Genomic DNA, 18,748 nt, shown 5'->3' with positions numbered 1-18,748 from the left:
GAGTTGTTTTTCCTGCCTCCAAAGATGATTAAGGAGTGTGGAAACAAAGAAGAAGTTACAGTAAAAGTTTAATAAGCAAAAGAGGAAAGCTCTCTGCCAGCACAGAGGGGATCTTAAACAGTAGTACCCGCTATGAGGCTGGGGTCCAGGGTTTTGTTGTTTTTGCTGTTGTTGCTGTTGTTTTGAGACAGAGTGTCACTCTGTTGCCCATGCTGGAGTGCAGTGGTGGTGTGATCTTGGCTCACTGCAACCTCCGCCTCCCGGGTTCAAGCAATTCTCCTGCCTCGGCCTCCTGAGTAGCTGGGACTACAGGCACACAACACCACGCCTGACTAATTTTTGTATTTTTAGTAGAGACGGAGTTTCGCCATGTTGGCCAGGACAGGCTCCATCTCCTGACCTTGTAATCCACCCACCTCAGCCTCCCACAGCACTGGGATTACAGGTGTGAGCCACTGTGTCCAGCCTCAGTGTTTTTACAAACTGGGAAAGAGAAGGATGGTTCTTACTCTGCTGGCTGTCTTGGCAAACAAGTAACTCAGCTTGACCCAGGCCTGTGACCAGTCAGGAGCTGAAATGATGCTTCATATATTCTGCTTAGTTTGGACCAGGACATATCAAAAGCTTAAGTGAAAGCTTGGCCTAGGACATTGGCCCAATCAGGGTTGAGGTGATAATTCATAGAAGTTGGACTTAGAGTCCTAATAAAGGGAAGTAAATCACCCACTGGAACCTACTGGATCCCACAGTGCCCATGCCCACAAAAGAAAAAGAAACATTTTTCTGGGCCTGCTGACTATACAAAGGATAAAGGCATTTCTATACATCCTTATCTGAGTGAGCTGGAAATTTGCGCAAGATATTTTTTATCCAAATGAGCTGGAGGCTATTCTATCTGTGCAGCTGTAGGCATGTCTGCAGGCACAACACCCTGTGCTAGTTCTCTTATCAGTGCCTGCAGCTTGAATTTTTTAGGCTACTTTTTATGTTGCATGGGGATAAGGCACCTACCTATTGGCCTGGGGCTCTCCAGGATCCTTTCCTTTTTATCTACCTAAGGCAAGCTAACTAACTCCTTTTAGTACTAGTAGGGGAACTTATAGCTATAAGTGCCTACACCAAAAAAAGAAAAACTCCAAAGAAATAACCTAACAATGCATCTTAAGGAACTAGAAAAGCAAGAGCAAACTGAACCTAAGATTCAAAGAGAAAAATAAAGATCAAAGGAAGAATAAATAATATTGAAATAAAAAACACAAAGAAGTGAAAAGATCTTTACAATTAAGACTACAAAACACTAATGAAAGAAGTTGAAGCAGACATCAAAAAATGGAAAAATATTTAATGTTCATGAATTGAAATAACCAATATTGTTAAAAATAGTCATACTACCCAAAACAGTCTACAGATTCAATGCAATTATCAAAATACCAATGACATTCTTCACAGAAATAGAAAAAAAGTCTCAAATTCATATAAAACCACAAAAGATCCAAAATAGCCAAAGCGATTCTGAGCAAAAAGAACAAAACTGGAGGAATTTATATTACCTGACTTCAAAAATATACTGCAGAGCTATGATAACCAAAACAGCATGACACAGAAATAAAAATAGACACATAAACCAATGTAACAGTATAAAGAACTCAGAAACCATACACCTACAGTGAGCTTATTTTCAAAAAAGGTATCATACATATTGGGAAAAGCAGTTTCTTCAATAAATGGTGCTGGGAAAAGTGGATATCTATATTCAGAATAATAAAATTATACCCCTATTTCTTATCATATACAAAAATTAAATCAAAATGGATTAAAGACTAATATAGGATCTCCAACTAGAAAACTACTAAAGTGAAACATTGGGGAAACTCTCCAGGACGTTGTTCTGGGCAAAATTTCTTGAGTAATATCCCAAAAGAACAGGAAACCCAAGCAAAATGAACAAACGGGATCATATCAAGTTACAAAGCTTTCTGCACAACAAAGGACACAATCAACAAAGAGAAGAGACAACCCACAGAATGAGAGAAAATATCTGCAAACTACCCAATTGACAAGAAATTAATAAACAGAGTACATAAGGAGTGCAAACATTATAGGAAAAAAACTAATAATCTGATTAAAATTGGCAAAAAAGATTTGAATAGACATTTCTTAAAATAAGACATACAAATGCCAAACAGCAAAAGTGGTTAACATTACTGATTATCACAGAAATATAAATCAAAACTACAATGAGATATTATTTCATCCCAGTTAAAAGGGACTACAGCCAAAAGATAGGCAATAAAAAATAATGGTGAGGACGTGAAGAAAAGTGTATCTATGTACACCGTTGGTGGGAATGTAAATTAGTACAATCACTATGGAGCATAGTTTAGAAGTTCCTCAGAAAATTAAAAGAGAGCTACCTTATTAACCCAGCAATCCCACTTCTGGGTATATACCCAAAAGAAAGGAAACCAGGATATTGAAACATTCTTATGTTTGATGTATTACTGTTCGCAATAGCCAAAATTTGGAAGCAATCTATGCATCCATTGACAGATGAATGGGTAAAGAAAATGTGGTACTTATACACAATGGTTTATATTAGTTTTCTATCATTGCTATAACAAAATAACAGTTTCTTAAAACCATCCAAAATTATCTTACTGTTCTGAATGCCAGAAAAGCAGAATTATTTTTAAAGAGGAAAAAAATCAAGATTTTGGCTACCTCTGGAAGCTTTAGGTAAGAATTTATTTCTGTGACTTTAGCTTTTAGATATCTGCCAGTATGTGGCTTATGGCTCCTTTTTCTTCAAAAACAACCATGTAATATATTCTCTCCTCTCTGGCCTCTGGCCTCTGATTCTGTACATACTGTTTTCTGTCTCACACTCTGATCCTGCTGGTTCTCTTTTATAAGAATGTTTGTGATTACATTGCACCCACTTGGATAATTCATGATAAATTTTGTGTCAAGATCTTTATTCACATATTTAAAGTACCTTTTCCTTTTTTTTAACCATCAGTAATGGATTGAGTTCTTCCTTGACTCTCTCTTGTTTCTACTTCCATCATCACATCTTTCTGACACTGATTCTACTCTTCCTTACTTTTTCTTTTCTTTTTTCCTGAGGCAATGTCTTGGTCTGTAGCACAGGCTGCAGTGCAGTGGCATGATCTCGGCTCACTACAACCTCCACCTCCTGGGTTCAAGCGATTCTCCTGCCTCAGCTTCCTGAATAGCTTGTGTTACAGGTGTGCACCACCATGGCCAGCTAATTTTTGTATTTTTAGTAGGGACTGGGTTTCACCATGTTGGTCAGGCTGGTCTTGAATTTTTGACCTTGGGATCCACCCTCATTGGCCTCCCAAAGTGCTGGGATTACATGCACGAGCCACTGCACCCAGCCACCTTTTCGTTTTTTAAGACTTTTGTGATTACATTGTACCCACCCAAGAAACACCAAACAAAGTTCTTACATTAGAGTCAGCTAAATTTCAATGTGCCAACATCCTTAAAATAACCATCAAGAAAGAATGAAAGAATTTGCAGCAATATCCATTTTCAATGAGTTTATCTGTACAAAAAAATATTTTTATGTAAAAATATCAGGGCAATACTTTTAGTAATTGTAAGCAATTATGTTGGTTCATCACTTATTCATGGCTGCATTTTAGTTTTTAGATGTTTAGATGTTTAAAAAATCAGAGGTAAATGATATGATTATAACCCCATAGATTTAAGACTTGAGGCATTTGAAATTTGCAATTAAGAGTTTATTCGGGCTGGGCACAGTGGCTCATGCCTGTAACCCCAACAGTTTGGGAGGCTGATACAGGCAGATCACGAGGTCAGGAGATCGAGACCATCCTGGCCAACATGGTGAAACCCCATCTCCACTGAAAATATGAAAATTAGCCAGGCATCATGGTGCACTCCTGTAATCCTAGCTACTTGGGAGGCTGAGGTAGGAGAATCACTTGATCCCAGAAGGCAGAGTTTGCATTAAGCCGAGATCATGTCACTGCACTCCAACCTGGTGACAGAGTGAGACTCAATCTCAAAAAGAAAAGGGCGGGGGGTGGGGGGCTTTATTCAACCTAGACATTATTGCTACATGTGAGCAAAGTTCTTAAAAGTAGAGTTGATTAAATATTCAGTAATGTTTAAAATGTAGTACCTGATTAGAAAGAACACTGATTTAACACTGTTCAGGCCTATATAACTCTATATTAATTTTAGATTTTGGAAGGACTATGTTGCTAGACTGATTAAAAATAAGCCAGAGGAAAGAAAAAGTACAGATGAGTGCTCCAAAGGCAGATATGTAGATTTTTTTTTTTTTTTAATATGAGATTGGGTCTCACTGTATTGGCCAGGGTGGCCTCAAACTCCTGGTCTCAAGCGGTCCTTCAGCCTCAACCTCCCAACATGTTGGGATTAGGTTTGTGAGACACCTTGCTCAGCTGGCAGATACATTTTCTGGTCTTAATAACTTTGTGTTATATAATGGTTTTGATAATATATTCTTGCTTTATGAGTCAGGAAAATCAGTTTGGGTTACACTAAAATATTAAATCATCTTCAGACTCAATGGAATTTTTTTTCTCTTGCTACACATTTATTATAGAATAGGTTTGGCATATAGAGTACAAAATTTATGCTTTTCTCACTTAGAGACTCTGCTGTGATGCTAATGGTAACTATGGCAGGAAGAAAGTACATGCTGAAAAAGCTTGCAATTAAATTAAATGATATCATTCAGAAGTGACCTGTAATACTCTGCTCACAAGTTTTGTTTGGAATTATTCTCATCATCCTGTCCATGTTAACTACAATTTTCAATGTGTCTCTATGGGCATTAAACTAGACTTAAAACAGCATTTGACAGAAGCGAACACTTATATGATGAAAACACTCAGTAAGCTACAAAGAGAAAAAAACTTCCTTAGAAAATTAAAGAGTATTTGTTTAAAAACCTACAGTTAATGTCATATTTAATGGTGAAAGGCTGAAAATATACCCACTGAGTTCAATACAAGGTTGCCTGCTTTCACCACTGATACTCAACATTGTACAAAATGTTCTAGTCAGAATAGTTAGGCAAGAAAAAAAAGATTAAATAAAATTTTAAATAATAGAATATAAAATTTAAATTGATAAAAATCTAAATTGGATAGGAAGAAGCAAAGCTATCTTTATTGGTTGATGATGTCATCCTATACATAGAAAATTCTAGAATTACAAAATAAAAACTAATAAAGATAACAAATGAATCCAGCAGTTTACTGGGTATAGGATTGACAACAAAAAGAAACTTATTGTCAATGAGCAATCTCAAAAAAAGTCTTAAAATCATTTTTATAATAACACCTGAAGGATAAAATCCTTAGGAATACCTTTAAATAGGAGAGTATTATACTATTTTGCACTAATTACTACAAAACATTGCTAAATAAATAAAAGAAGACCTTAATAAATGGAAATATATTATGTTCATGGATTGAAAGACTTAATATTGTTAAAATGTCAGTATTTCCAAAAAAAACTTTGCAAATTTAATGTAAACCTACCAAAATCCCACTGGCAATTTTTGCCAAAATGAAGAAGTTAATCATAAATTTAATATGAAAAAGCAAGTGACCATGAAAATGCAAAACAATTGAGAGAAAGAAGGGCATAGTTGCAGGACTCATACTGGATTTCAAAATGTATTATAAAATTACACAATTCAAGACAGTGTAGTATAAGTGTAAAGAAAATTGTGATAGGATTGAGACTCCAAAAAATAATCCAGACATATAATGTCAGTTGCTTTTTGACAAAGGTTTCAACATCATTATACAGAGAAAGAATAGTCTCTTCATACTCCTGGGACAACTTGCTATTTACCAACAACAAAATTGGGACCTAAACTTACACTACATTTCAAATTTAATCTACTCATCTTCAGTTTTTCTGTTATTAACATCTTGAAAAGATGTGGGTGTGTTTGTGTGTGTGTGTGTGTGTGTGTATATATGTGTGTATATATATATAATATACGTGTATATATATATACACGTATATATATATAATATACGTGTATATATATATGTGTGTATATATATACGTGTATATATATATACGTGTATATATATATGTGTATATATATATACGTATATATATATATACGTGTATATATATATACGTGTGTGTGTGTGTGTGTATATATATATACATATATATATATAATTTTGGGGACAGATTCTCACTCCATCCCCCAGGCTGGAGTACAGTGGTGTGATCTCAGCTCACTGAAACCTCTGCCTTCTGGGTTCAAACAATTCTCATACCTCAGCCTCTCAAGTAGCTGAGATTACAGGACCCATCACCACACCTGGCTAATTTTTCTGTTTTTAGTAGAGACGGGGTTTCACCATGTTGGCCAGGCTGATCTCAACCCCCTGACCTAAGATGACCTGCCCAACTCAGCCTCCCAAAATGCTGGGATTACAGGCATGAGTCACCATGCCCAGCCTAAGATGTGACATATTTGTTACCATTAATGAACCAAATTATTTATCCCATTCTATAGTTTGTCTGCTTACCCTGTTGATTGTTCCTTATATTGCACAGAAGCTCTTTAGTTTAAATAGATTCTGCTTGTCAAATGTTGCTTTTGTTGCAATTGTTTTTGGAATCTTTGTCATGAAATCTTTGCCCATTCCTATCTCCAGAATGCTATTGCGTAGGTTGTCTTTCAGAATTTCTATTCCTTTAAGTTTTACATAAGCCTTTAATTGATCTTCAGTTAATTTTTGTTTGTGGTGTAAGAAAGGGGTCCCATTTCAATCTACTGAATATGGCTAGGTGGTTATCCCAGAATGATTTATTGAATAGAGAGTTCTTTTCCCATTGCTTCTTTTTGTCAGCTCTATCAAAGATTAGATGGCAAATATGAGGTCTTATTTCTAGGCTCTCTATTCCTTTCCATTGATCTAAATGTCTACTTTTATACCAGCACCATGCTGTTTTGTTAACTGTAGGCCTGAAGTATACTTTGAAGTCAGGTAACATGATGCCTCCACCTTTGCTCTTTTTGTATAGAATTCCCCTGGCTATCTGGGATAATTTGTGTTTCCATATTAATTTTAAAATAGTTTTTTTTAGTCCTGTGAAAAATTTAATTGGTAGTTTAATAGGAATAGCATTCCATCTATAAATTGCTTTGGGCAGTATGACCATTTTATGATGTTGATTCTTCCTATCCATGAGCATGGAATGTATTCCCATTTGTTTGCTTTATCTCTGACTTTTTTGACCAGTACTTTTTAGTTCTTGTGGTGATTTTTGACCTCTCTGGTTAAGTGTATTTCTATATATTTTATTCTTTTTGTGGCAATAGTGAATGGGATTTATGTCCCTGGTTTTACTCTTGGCTTGACAATTTTTGATATATACAAATGCTAGTAATTTTTGTGCATTGATTTTCTATGCTTAGATTTTGCTGAAGTTATTTATCAGCTGAGGGAGCTTTTGGGCCAAGACTATGAGGTTTTCTAGATGTAGAATTGAGATGATTTATCTAGCTTCTTTTAAGTAGACAGCAAGGGAGGGGTCCCCGGAGATTCCCTGACCCACTGATCAGTGCCTCAGCCCCAAAAAGCAGGCTGGAAAAATAAATCAAGCTGCATGTACTGATAAGAAAACTAGCACAAGGAGTTGTGCCTGGAGACATGCCCACAGCTGTACAGATAAGGGAGCTCCAGGTTACTCACATAAAAACTTACAGGAATCTCCAGCTTACTTGTTTCCCTGTTTAAGAGAACAAGTCCTGACAGAGAAATGCCATTATCCTTTCTATCATCAGTGGGCTTCCAGGAAAAAAGTCTCTTCTGCTTTTATGAGCATGAACACACTGTTCTCTGTTGGGTTCTGGTGGGCAGTTTCCTTTCCTTTCCTTTTTAGATTGTGAGCCCAGCATCTATGAATCATCAGTTCATCTCCTGATTGGTCCTGGGTCAAGGTCCTAGGTCAAGCTTTTACTTCAGCTGCCAATAGGTCCCAGGCCTAGCTGCCTCTATGAATTACCACTTCAGCCCCTAATTGGCCCCTGGGCTAGGCTTCCTGATTGGTCCAGGGCCAAGGCCCCAGGCCGAGACCCCAGGCAAAGCTGAGTCAGGAGTTCTCCAAGACAGCACACAGACTAAGCATATTCCTTCCCCTTCCCAGTCCATGAAAACCCTGGACCCCAGCCTCATAGAGGGACCCTATTTGGCACCCCCAACCCTCTGCTAGCGGAGAACTTCCTTCTTTTGCTTTTTAAACTTTTGCTCTGACCTAACCCTAGTGTCCGCACTCCTTAGTCATCTCAGACAAAGAACTCTTGCTATATCTCAGACAATGAGAGACTGTTACAACTTTGTGCACTGGTGAAACTACAACAGAATAATGTTATCTGCAAAGAGGGAGAGTTTGCCTTCCTTTCTTTCTATTTGGATTTCCTTTATTTCTTTCTACTACCTGATTGATCTGCTCAGGACTTCCAGTACTATGTTGAATATGTGTGCTGAGAGAGGAAATCCTTGTCTTGTGCCAGCTTTCAAGAGGAATGCTTCCAGCTTTTTCCTATTCAATACAATGTTGGCTGTGAGTTTGTCACAAATGGCCCTTGCTATTTTAAGGTATATTCCTTCAATGCTTAGTTTATCAAGAGTTTTTACTATGAAAGGTGTTAAATTTTGTTGAAATTATTTTTTGCATCTATTGAAATTATAATGTGGTTTTGTCTTTAGTTTTATTAAAGGATAAATCACATTTATTGATTTGCTATGTTGAACCACCCTTGCATCTCAGAGATAAAGGCTACTTGATAGTATAAATAAGCTTTTTGATGTGCCACTGGATTCAGTTTGCCAGAATTTTGTTGAGGATTTTTGCATCGATAGTCATCCATGATATTGGCTTGAACTTTTTTGTTGCTGTTGTTATGTGTCTGCCAGATTTTGGTATCAAGATAATGCTGGCCTCATAGATTGACTTAGAAAGGCGTTCCTCCTCCTCCTCCATTTTTTGGAATAGTTTCTGTCGCAATGATACCAGCTCTTCTTTGTTCATCATTCAGGTGTGAATCCTTCTGGCCCTGAGCTTTGTTAGGTTGTGGCTCCTTATTACTGATTCAGTTTCAGAGTTCTGTTCTGAAATTGGTTGTTGGTCTGTTCGAGAATTTGATTTCTTCCTGGTTCAATCTTGGGAGGGTGTATGTGCCCAGGAAGTTATCAATTTCTTCTAGGTTTTTTTTTAGTTCAGGGGCATAAAGACATTCATATTATTTTCTGATGTTTTTTGTGTTTCTGTGAGGTTATGGTACTATCCCCTTTATCATTTCTGTATTTATTTGGATCTGCTCTCTTTTTTATTAGTCTAGTTAGCAGTCTATCTATATTATTAATTTCCAAAAACCAACTCCTGGATTCATTGATCTTTTGAATGGTTGTTAATATGTTAATTACCTCAGTTCAGATCAAATTTAGGGTATTTCCTTTCTTGTGCTAACTGTGGGGTTAGTTTGCTCTTGCTTCTCTTGTTATTTTAGTTGAAATGTTATATTGCTAGATTGAGATATTTCTTTTTTATGTGGGTGTTTAATGCTATAAATTTGCCTCTTAACACTGCCTTAGCTGTCTGTGTCCAAGAGATTCTGGTATGTTGTATCTTTGTTCTCATTTGTTTCAAGGAGGTTCTTGATTTATGCCTTAATGTCATTATTTACCTGGAAGCATTCAGAAGCAGGTTATTCAATTTCCATGTAATTGTATGGTTTTCAGTAAATTTATTAGTCTTGATTCCCAATTTTATTGCGCTGGTGTCTGAGAGAGCGGTTGTTATAATTTCATCTGTTTTACTGTTGCTGAGGAGGGTTTAATGTCTGACTACATGGTCAATTTTAGAGAATCAGCCCTGTGACAATGATAAGAATGTATATTCTGTTGTTTTGGGGGCAAAGACTTCTGTAAATGACCCTCAGGTCTATTTGATCCAGTGCTGAGTTTAGGTCCTAAATATTTTTGTACGTTTTTTGCCTCGATGATGCATCCAAATATTGTCAATACTGATATCTTAAATTCTGTCATTAGTGTGTGGGAGTCTAAGATTCTTTGAAAGTCTAAGAAATTGTTTTATGAAGCCTATGTTGGGTGCATACATATGTGTTTAAAATAGCTAAGTCTTCTTGTTAAATTGTACTCTTTAGCTTTACGTAATGCCCTTTGTCATTTCTTATCTTTTTGGTTTAAAGTCCTTTATGTGTGAACTTAAAATGACAACCTCTGATTCTTTCTGTCTTCTGTTTACTTGGTAGATTTTTGGCCATTCCTTTATTTTGAGTTTATGGATATAATTGCATGTGAGCTGAATCTTTTGAAGACAGCACATCAAAGACTTGGAACCAACCCAAATGTCCAACAATGATAGACTGGATTAAGAAAATGTGGCACATATACACCATGGAATACTATGCAGCCATAAAAAATGATGAGTTCATGTCCTTTGTAGGGACATGGATGAAATTGGAAATCATCATTCTCAGTAAACTATCTCAAGAACAAAAAACCAAACACCGCATATTCTCACTCATAGGTGGGAATTGCACAATGAGAACACATGGACACAAGAAGGGGAACATCACACTCTGGGGACTGTTATGGGGTGGGAAGTGGGGGAGGGATAGCACTGGGAGATATACCTAATGCTGGATGACGAGTTAGTGGGTGCAGCGCACCAGCATGGCACATGTATACATATGTAACTAACCTGCACATTGTGCACATGTACCCTAAAATTAAAGTATAATAATAATAATAATAATAATAAAAAGAAGACAGCATATCATTGGGTCTCAGGGTTTTTTAACCCTGATTGCCATCTTGTGCCTTTTAATTTGGGCATTTATCCTGTTTACATTCAAGGTTAGTAAAGCCAAACTAAGCTTCATAAGTGAAGGGGAAATAAAATCTTTTACAGACAAGGAAATGCTGAGAGATTTAGCTTGTTATTCTGCATACTTATTTGTGTGGTTTCTTCATAGTGTCACTGGTCTATGTACTGAAGTGTGCTTTAGTAGTGGCTGGCAATAATATTTTCTTCCCACATTTAGTGTTTTTTCAGGATCTCTTGTGTAAGACAGGCCTGGTGGTAATAAATTTCTTCAGAATTTTCTTGTCTAAAAAGGAGCTTATTTCTCCTTCTCTTATGGAACTTAGTTTGGCTGAATATGAAATTGTTTGTTAAAATTTCTTTTTTTAAAAACATTGTTGAGGGCTGGGCACAGTGGCTCATGCCTATAATCCCAGCACCCTGGGAAGCTGAGGTGGGTGGATCACAAGGTCAGGAGATTGAGACCAGCTTCACCAACATGGTGAAACCCCGTCTCTACTAAAAATACAAAAATTAGCTGAGTGTTGTGGTGAGTGCCTGTAATCCCAGCTACTCAGGAGGCTGAGGCAGGAGAATCTCTTGAACCTGGGAGGCAGAGGTTGCAGTGAGCCGAGATTATGCCACTGCACTCCAGCCTAAGAAAGCAGATCTAAGTTACTTCCATTCTTCCATTCCATCTCTTTCAGAGATATGAAGGAGTCATAAATTTGGTCTGTTTACCTAATCCCATATTTCTTGGAGGTTTTCTTTATTCTTTTCATTCTTTTTTCTCTATTTCTGTTTGTCCTATTTCAGAAAGCCAGTCTTCAAGCTCTGAGATTCTTTTCTCAGCTTGGTCTGTTCAGCTATTAATACTTTTGAGTTTATTATGAAATTCTTGTGTTTTTCAGCCCCCTCAGGTTGGTTACAGTCTTCTCTACACTGGTCATTTTGTCTGTCAGCTCCTGTATTGTTTTATTGTAACTCTTAGCTTTCTTGGACTGCATTTCAATGTTCTCCTGCACATTAATAATCATCATCCTTATCCATATTCTGAATTATGTCATTTCAGCCAACTCAACTCAGTTCAAAACCCTTGTTAGAAAGCTAGTGAAGTCATTTGGAGGAAGGCAGGCACTCTGGCTTTTTCTGTTGTTGGAGTGCTTGTGCTGATTCCTTATCATCTTTGTGGACTGATGTTCCTTCAATCTTTGCAATTGCTCTCTTTTGTATGGAGTTTTTTTCCTTTCATCCTGTTTGATGACTTGAGGTTTTTACTGTGGTATAAGGTGGGTTCACTTGACTGGCTTCTTTTCTGAAGGTTTTTAGGGAGCCAAGGTTCAGCTCCCAACTTTTGGGCTGCATGATCTATTCTGGGTGGCTTGTATTGCCCTAAACTTATTCTCTGATTCCTTGAGTTTAGAAATTCACTGTTCTTTGTTGTAGGTTAGAAGGCTCAGGTTCTCTTGGACCACTGGTTACTACACTCCAATGGGTGATGTCAGCCAAAGCACTTTTCAGGGCAATGGCAGCAGGACCCATCCTTGTTTGCACATGCCAGCAGCAGGCATAGTGGCAGAATGGTAATGTGCATACTTTTCAGCTATGGCAGGATGCTAACAGGTGCCAAGTTCCCTGCCTCTGTGCAGGTGTTCACAGCAGTATGGGAGATGGCATGGCTAAAGGTGAGGCAGCCATCATTGATGACTGTACACAGTCACACTTTTGGTGGTGTTAGTATGGGGGTGGCACACTGGCAAGTACAGGCCTGCAGCTGCTCAGGGTAGGAAATTGTACACTATTCTTCTGCCCAGTTCACTATGGTGGCAGTCTTAACACAGGAGCAGGGCACAGGTAAGGGGACTGGCAAGCTTTGAGCCTACCAGGGTTCCAACTGCTATGCTGGTATGGTGGGGCCAGGGCAGCAGATGCATGGCATGGAGAATTTCACACATGCATATTGGATGAGCAGGGAAGGCAAAACCTACCCACATACACATGTGCTAGCAAAGTGATGTGGCGAGTTGCCATGGGTTTGGGGGAAGCTACAGTTGGGGAAGGGACACAGTGGGTTGGTGCTTGACAATGAAGGCTGCCCCCACTGGAGCTCTCCACTGGTCAGGCATGGTCCACTAGCACAGGAGTTATGGTATGGGTCCCCAGGACACCTGGGGCTGCACTGCAAGCAGTCATTCCCAGGCTGTGGGCCTGAGAGGCCATCAAATCAAGGAGGTTAAATCAGACCCAGCCCTATCTGATAGACATGAGCTCCCTGCAGAGGTCAGCCCTGACAGTTCCCCCAGGGCTAAAGTCTCCTGTGGGAACAAGTTGAGCCTGAGGGAATGGTCATCTGTGGCTGGGCTTCACTACAGATGTTTCTGCTGAAAACCCTCTGGGCTCTGCATGGGGAAGAATACTGTTCCTGCCACTTCTGTAAGCGGTTCACCATGCCAACTCAAGTATCTGTAGTGGTCAAGAGGTCTCTTCCTTTCAGGATACTGGTAGCCCCATACAGGGTTTCCAGGTTCTTTCCCTTTCAGACTAGGTTTTGTGTCTTCCCTCTGTCCCCTCTCGGTGCCTTCCCTCTGAAGATCTTTTAGGAGTGAACCTGAGTTTCCTGAATTTGAATGTTGAGTGCTTGAATGCTAATAAAGACATACCTCAGCTTGGATAATTTATAAAAGAAAAAGGTTTAATTGACTCACAGTTCAGCATGGTTGAGGAAGCCTCAGTAATCTTACAATCATTGCAGAAGGGGAAGCAAACACGTCCTTCTTCACATGGCAGCAACAAAAGAAGTATGAGAGCTGAGCAAATGGGGAAGCCACCAAATAAAACTGTCAGATCTTATGAGAACTCATTATCATAAGAATAGCATAGGGGAAACTGCCCCCTGTGATTCAGTTACCTCACACCAGAGGTTCCGGTATCAGGCAGCCATTTCACGTGGTTGCATCTAGTCAGCCATCTTGCCTGATTCCTCCTCCAAACTCAATGTAGACAAGTGTCCTCTTAACACTGCTTCAACTGAATTCCAGTGATTTTAGTATTCTGTGTTTCTGTTTTATTTCAAAGAATTATTTGATTTCTGCATTTTTTAATCCAAAAGCCCTTCAGTAGAACGTTGTTTAATATCCATGTAATTATATGGTTTTGAAGGGTCTTCATGCTATTGACTCCTATTTTTACTATTGTCAAAACTATGTTTGGCATAGTTATGGTTTGGCTGTGTCCCTACCCAAATCTCATCTTGAATCGTAGTTCCCATAATCCCCATATGTGGTGGGAGGGACATGATGAAGGTAATTGAATCATGGGGGCAGTTTCCCCCATGCTACTCTTGTGATAGTGACTAAGTTCTTATGAGATCTGATGGTTTTACCAGGGGCTTCCCCCTTCACTCAGCTCTCATGCTTATCTTCCTGCTGTCATGTAAAGAAGAAAATGCTTGCTTCCTCTTCTGCCTTGATTACAAGTTTCCTGAGGCCTCCCCAGCCATGCAGAACTGTGAGTCAATTAAACATCTTTCCTTTATAAATTATTTAGTCTCAGGTATGTCTTTATTAGTAGCATGAGAACAGACTAATACAGGTATAATTTTTATTTTTTTAATGAAGTGAGCCCTCCTTTATTGCCAAGTGTGTGGCCAATTTTAAGTACGTTTCATTTGCAAATGAAAAGAATGTATATCTTGTTGTTTATGGCGGAGGTGTCCTGTAGATGTCTATCATGTACAAGTGTTTTATTTAAGGTTAAGATTTGTTAGTTTTCTACCTTGAGGATCTGTCTAAGACTTTGGTGGGCTGTTGAAGTCCCCCATTATCATTGTGTGCCTAAGTCTTTTGTACGTTAGGACATACTTTTTAAATAAATTTGGGTGCTCCAATATTGTGTCAGTGTACATTTAGGATGAGTAAGGCATCTTGTTGGATTGAGCCCTTTATTATTATTTAGTGCCCATCTTTGTCCTTTTTTACTGTTGTTGGCTTAAAGTCTATTTTATCTCTTGTAAGATGAGTGACCCCTGCCTTTTGTTTTCCATTTGCATGATAGATCTCTCTCCATTCCTTTACCTTTAGTGTATAGGTATTTTACATGTGAGATGGCTCTTTTGAAGATAGCAGGTGAATAGGTCTTGTGTTATTAATCCAACTAGGCACTTTGTGCCTTTTAACTGTGACATTAAGATAATTTACATTCCAGGTCAGTCTTGATATAATAGGCGGTTGCTGGCAAGATGACCGAATAGAAACATCTCCAGTCTGCAGCTCCCAGTGAGATCAATGCAGAAGGTGGGTAATTTCTGCATTTCCAGCTGAGGTACTTGGTTCATCTCACTAGGACTGGTTGGACAGTGGGTGCAGCCCAAGCAGGGAGAGCCAAAGCAGGGTGGGAAGTCACCTCACCCAGGAAGCACAAGGGATCAGGGAACTCCCTCTCCCAGCCAAGGGAAGCCATTAGGGACTGTACCATGCACTCTGGCCCAGATACTGCACTTTCCCCATAGTCTTCAGAACCTGCAGACCAGAAGATTCCTTTCAGTGCCTATATCACCAGGTCCCTGGGTTTCCAGCACAAAACTGGGTGACAATTTGGGGAGATATCAAGCTAGTTCTGGAGTTTTTTTTTTCATACCCCATCAGTGCCTGGAATGCCAGCAAGACAGAACCTTTCACTCCCCTGCAAGGGGGGCTGAAGCCAGGGAGCCAAGTAGTCTAGCTCGGCAGGTCCCACCCCAATGGAGCCCAACAGCCTAAGATCCACTGGATTGAAATCCTTGCTGCCAGCACAACAGCAGTCCAAGCTTGAACATTGTGTGGGGAGGGGCATCATCCATCTATGAGGCTTAAGTAGGCAGTTTCACCCTCACAGTGTAAACAAAGTCACCAGGAATTTCAAACTGGGTGGAACCCACCCCAATTCAGCAAGGCCACAGTGGCCAGACTGTCTCCTCTCTGTGCAGGACATCATGTGAAAAAAAGGCAGCAGCCACATTAGGGACTTATAGATATAACCCCCACCGCCCTTCTCTTCCCTGGGACAGAGCACCTTGGGGAAGGGTTGGTTTTAAGCGCAGCTTCAGCAGACTTAAATGACCCTACCTAAGAGCTCTGAAGAGAGCACCAGATCTAGCAGCACAGCCATTCGAGCTCCTATAAGGGATAGATTGCCTCCTCAAGTGGGTCCATGATGCCCATTTATCCTGACAAGGTGACACCTCCTAGTAGGTGGTGACAGACACCTCATATAGGAGAGCTCTGGCTGGCATCTCGTGGGTGCCCTTCCGGGACAAAGCTTCAAGAGGAAGAAGCAAGCAGCAATATTTGCTGTTCTGCAGCCTCTGCCAGTGACACCCAGGCAAACAGGTTCTGGGGCAGACCTCCAGCAAACTCTAGCAGACCTACAGCAGAGGGGCCTGACTGTTAGAAGGAAAACTAACAGACAGAAAGGAATAGTAGCAACATCAACAAAAAGGACATCCACTGAGAAACCCCATCTGAAGGTAAGCAACTTTAAAGACAAAAGGTAGATAAATCCATGAAGATGGAGAGAAACCAGCACTAAAACGCTGAAAATTCAGAATGCCTATTCTCCTACAAAGGGTCACAACTCCTCACCAGCAAGGTCCAAAATGGGGTGGAGAATGACTTTGATGAATTGACAGAAGTAGGCTTCAGAAGGTGGGTAATAACAGACGCCTCTGAGCTAAAGGAGCATGTCCTAACCCAGTGCAAGGAAGCTAAGAACCTTGAAAAAAAGGTTACATGAATTGCTAACTAGAATAACTGGTTTAGAGAAGAATACAAATAACCTGATGGAGCTGAAAAACACAGCACAAGAACTTCATGAAGCATACACAAGTATCATAGCTGAGTCGATTAAGTGGAAGAAAGGATATATGAGATTGAAGATCAACCAAATGAAATGCAATAGGAAAACAAGATTAGAGAAAAAAGAGTGGAAAGATATGAGGAAAGCCTCCAAGAAGTATAGGACTATGTGAAAAGACTACATCTACATTTGATTGGTGTACCTGAAAGTGACAGGAAAAATAGAACCAAGCTGGAAAATACTTTTTAGGATATTATCCAGGAGAAGTTCCCCAACCTACCAAGACAGGCCAACATTGAAATTCAGGAAATACAGACAACACCACAAAGATACTCCTCCAGAAGAGCAACCTCAAGACATATAATCATCAGATTCACCAAGGTTGAAATCGAGGGAAAAAATGTTAAAGGTAACCAGAGAGAAAGGTCAGGTTACCCACAAAGGGAACCCCATCAGACTAACAGCGAATTTCTCAGCAGAGAACCTTATGAGCCAGAAGAGAGTGGGGACCGATATTCAACATTCTTACAGAAAAGAATTTTCAACCCAGAATTTCATATCCAACCAAACTAATCTTCATAAGCAAAGGAGAAATAAAATCCCTTACAGATGAGAAAATGCTGAGAGATTTTGTCACCACCAGCCCTGCCCTACAAGAGCTCCTGAAGGAAGCACTAAACATGGAAAGGAACAACTTGTACCAGCCACTGCAAAAACATACCAAATTGCCAAGGCGATTGACACTATGAAGAAACTGCATAAACTAATGAGCAAAATAACCAGCTAACGTCATAAAGACAGGATCAAGTTCTCACATAACAATATTAACCTTAAATGTAAATGGGCTAAATGACACAATTAAAAGACACAGACTGGCAAATTGGATGAAGAGTCAAGACCCATTGGTGTACTGTATTCAGGAGACCCAACTCACATGCAAAGACACATAGGCTAAAGGGATGGAGGAAGATTTAGCAAGCAAATGGCAAGCAAAAAAAAAAAAAATGGAGTGGTTGCAATTCTAGTCTCTGATAAAACAGACTTTAAACCAATAAAGGTCAAAAGAGACAAAGAAGTGCACTATATAATGGTAAAAAGATCAATGCAACAAGAAGAGCTAACTATCCTAAATATATATGCACAAAATACAGGAGTACCCAGATTCATGAAGCAAGTTCTTACAGACCTACAAACAGACTTAGACTCCCACACAATAATAGTGGGAGACTGTAACACCCCACTGGCAACATTAGAAAGATCAACGAGACAGAAAATTAACAAGGATATTCAGGATTTGAACTCAGCTCTAGACCTAGTGGACCCACTAGATATCTATAGAACTCTCCACCCCAAATCAACAGAATATATATTGTTCTCAGCACCACATCCCAGTTATTCTAAAATTGACCACATAACTGAAAGTAAAACACTCCTCAGCAAATGCAAAATAATGGAAATTACAACAAACAATTTCTCAGACCACAGTGCAATCAAATTAGAACTCAGGATCAAGAAACTCTCTCAAAACTCCACCACTACATGGAAGCTGAACCTGCTCCTGAATGACTACTGATTAAATAATGAAATGGAGGCAGAAATAAAGATGTTCTTTAAAACCAATGAGAACAAAGACACAATGTACCAGAATCTCTGGGACACAGCTAAAGAAGTGTTAAGAGGGAAATTTTATAGCACTAAATGCCCGCTAGAGAAAGCAGAAAAGATCTAAAATCAACACCCTAATATCACAGTTAAAAGAACTAGAGAAGCAAGAGCAAACAAATTCAAAAGCAAGCAGAAGACAAGAAATAACTAAGATCAGAGCAGAACAGAAGGAGACAGAGACAAAAAACCCTTCAAAAAATGGATGAATCCAGGAGCTGCTTTTTATAAACTTTAACAAAATAGAAAGACCACTACCCAGACTAATAAAGAAAAAAAGAGAAGAAGAATCAAATAGATACAATAAAAAATGATAAAGGGGATATCAGCTCCAATCCCACAGAAATACAAACTACCACCAGAG

Source organism: Homo sapiens, chromosome Y, assembly GCF_000001405.40.
Source record: "Homo sapiens chromosome Y, GRCh38.p14 Primary Assembly".
In the NCBI taxonomy this organism is placed as follows: domain Eukaryota; kingdom Metazoa; phylum Chordata; class Mammalia; order Primates; family Hominidae; genus Homo; species Homo sapiens.
The sequence above is the reverse complement of the archived record's forward strand: the minus strand, read 5'-3'. Positions refer to the sequence as shown.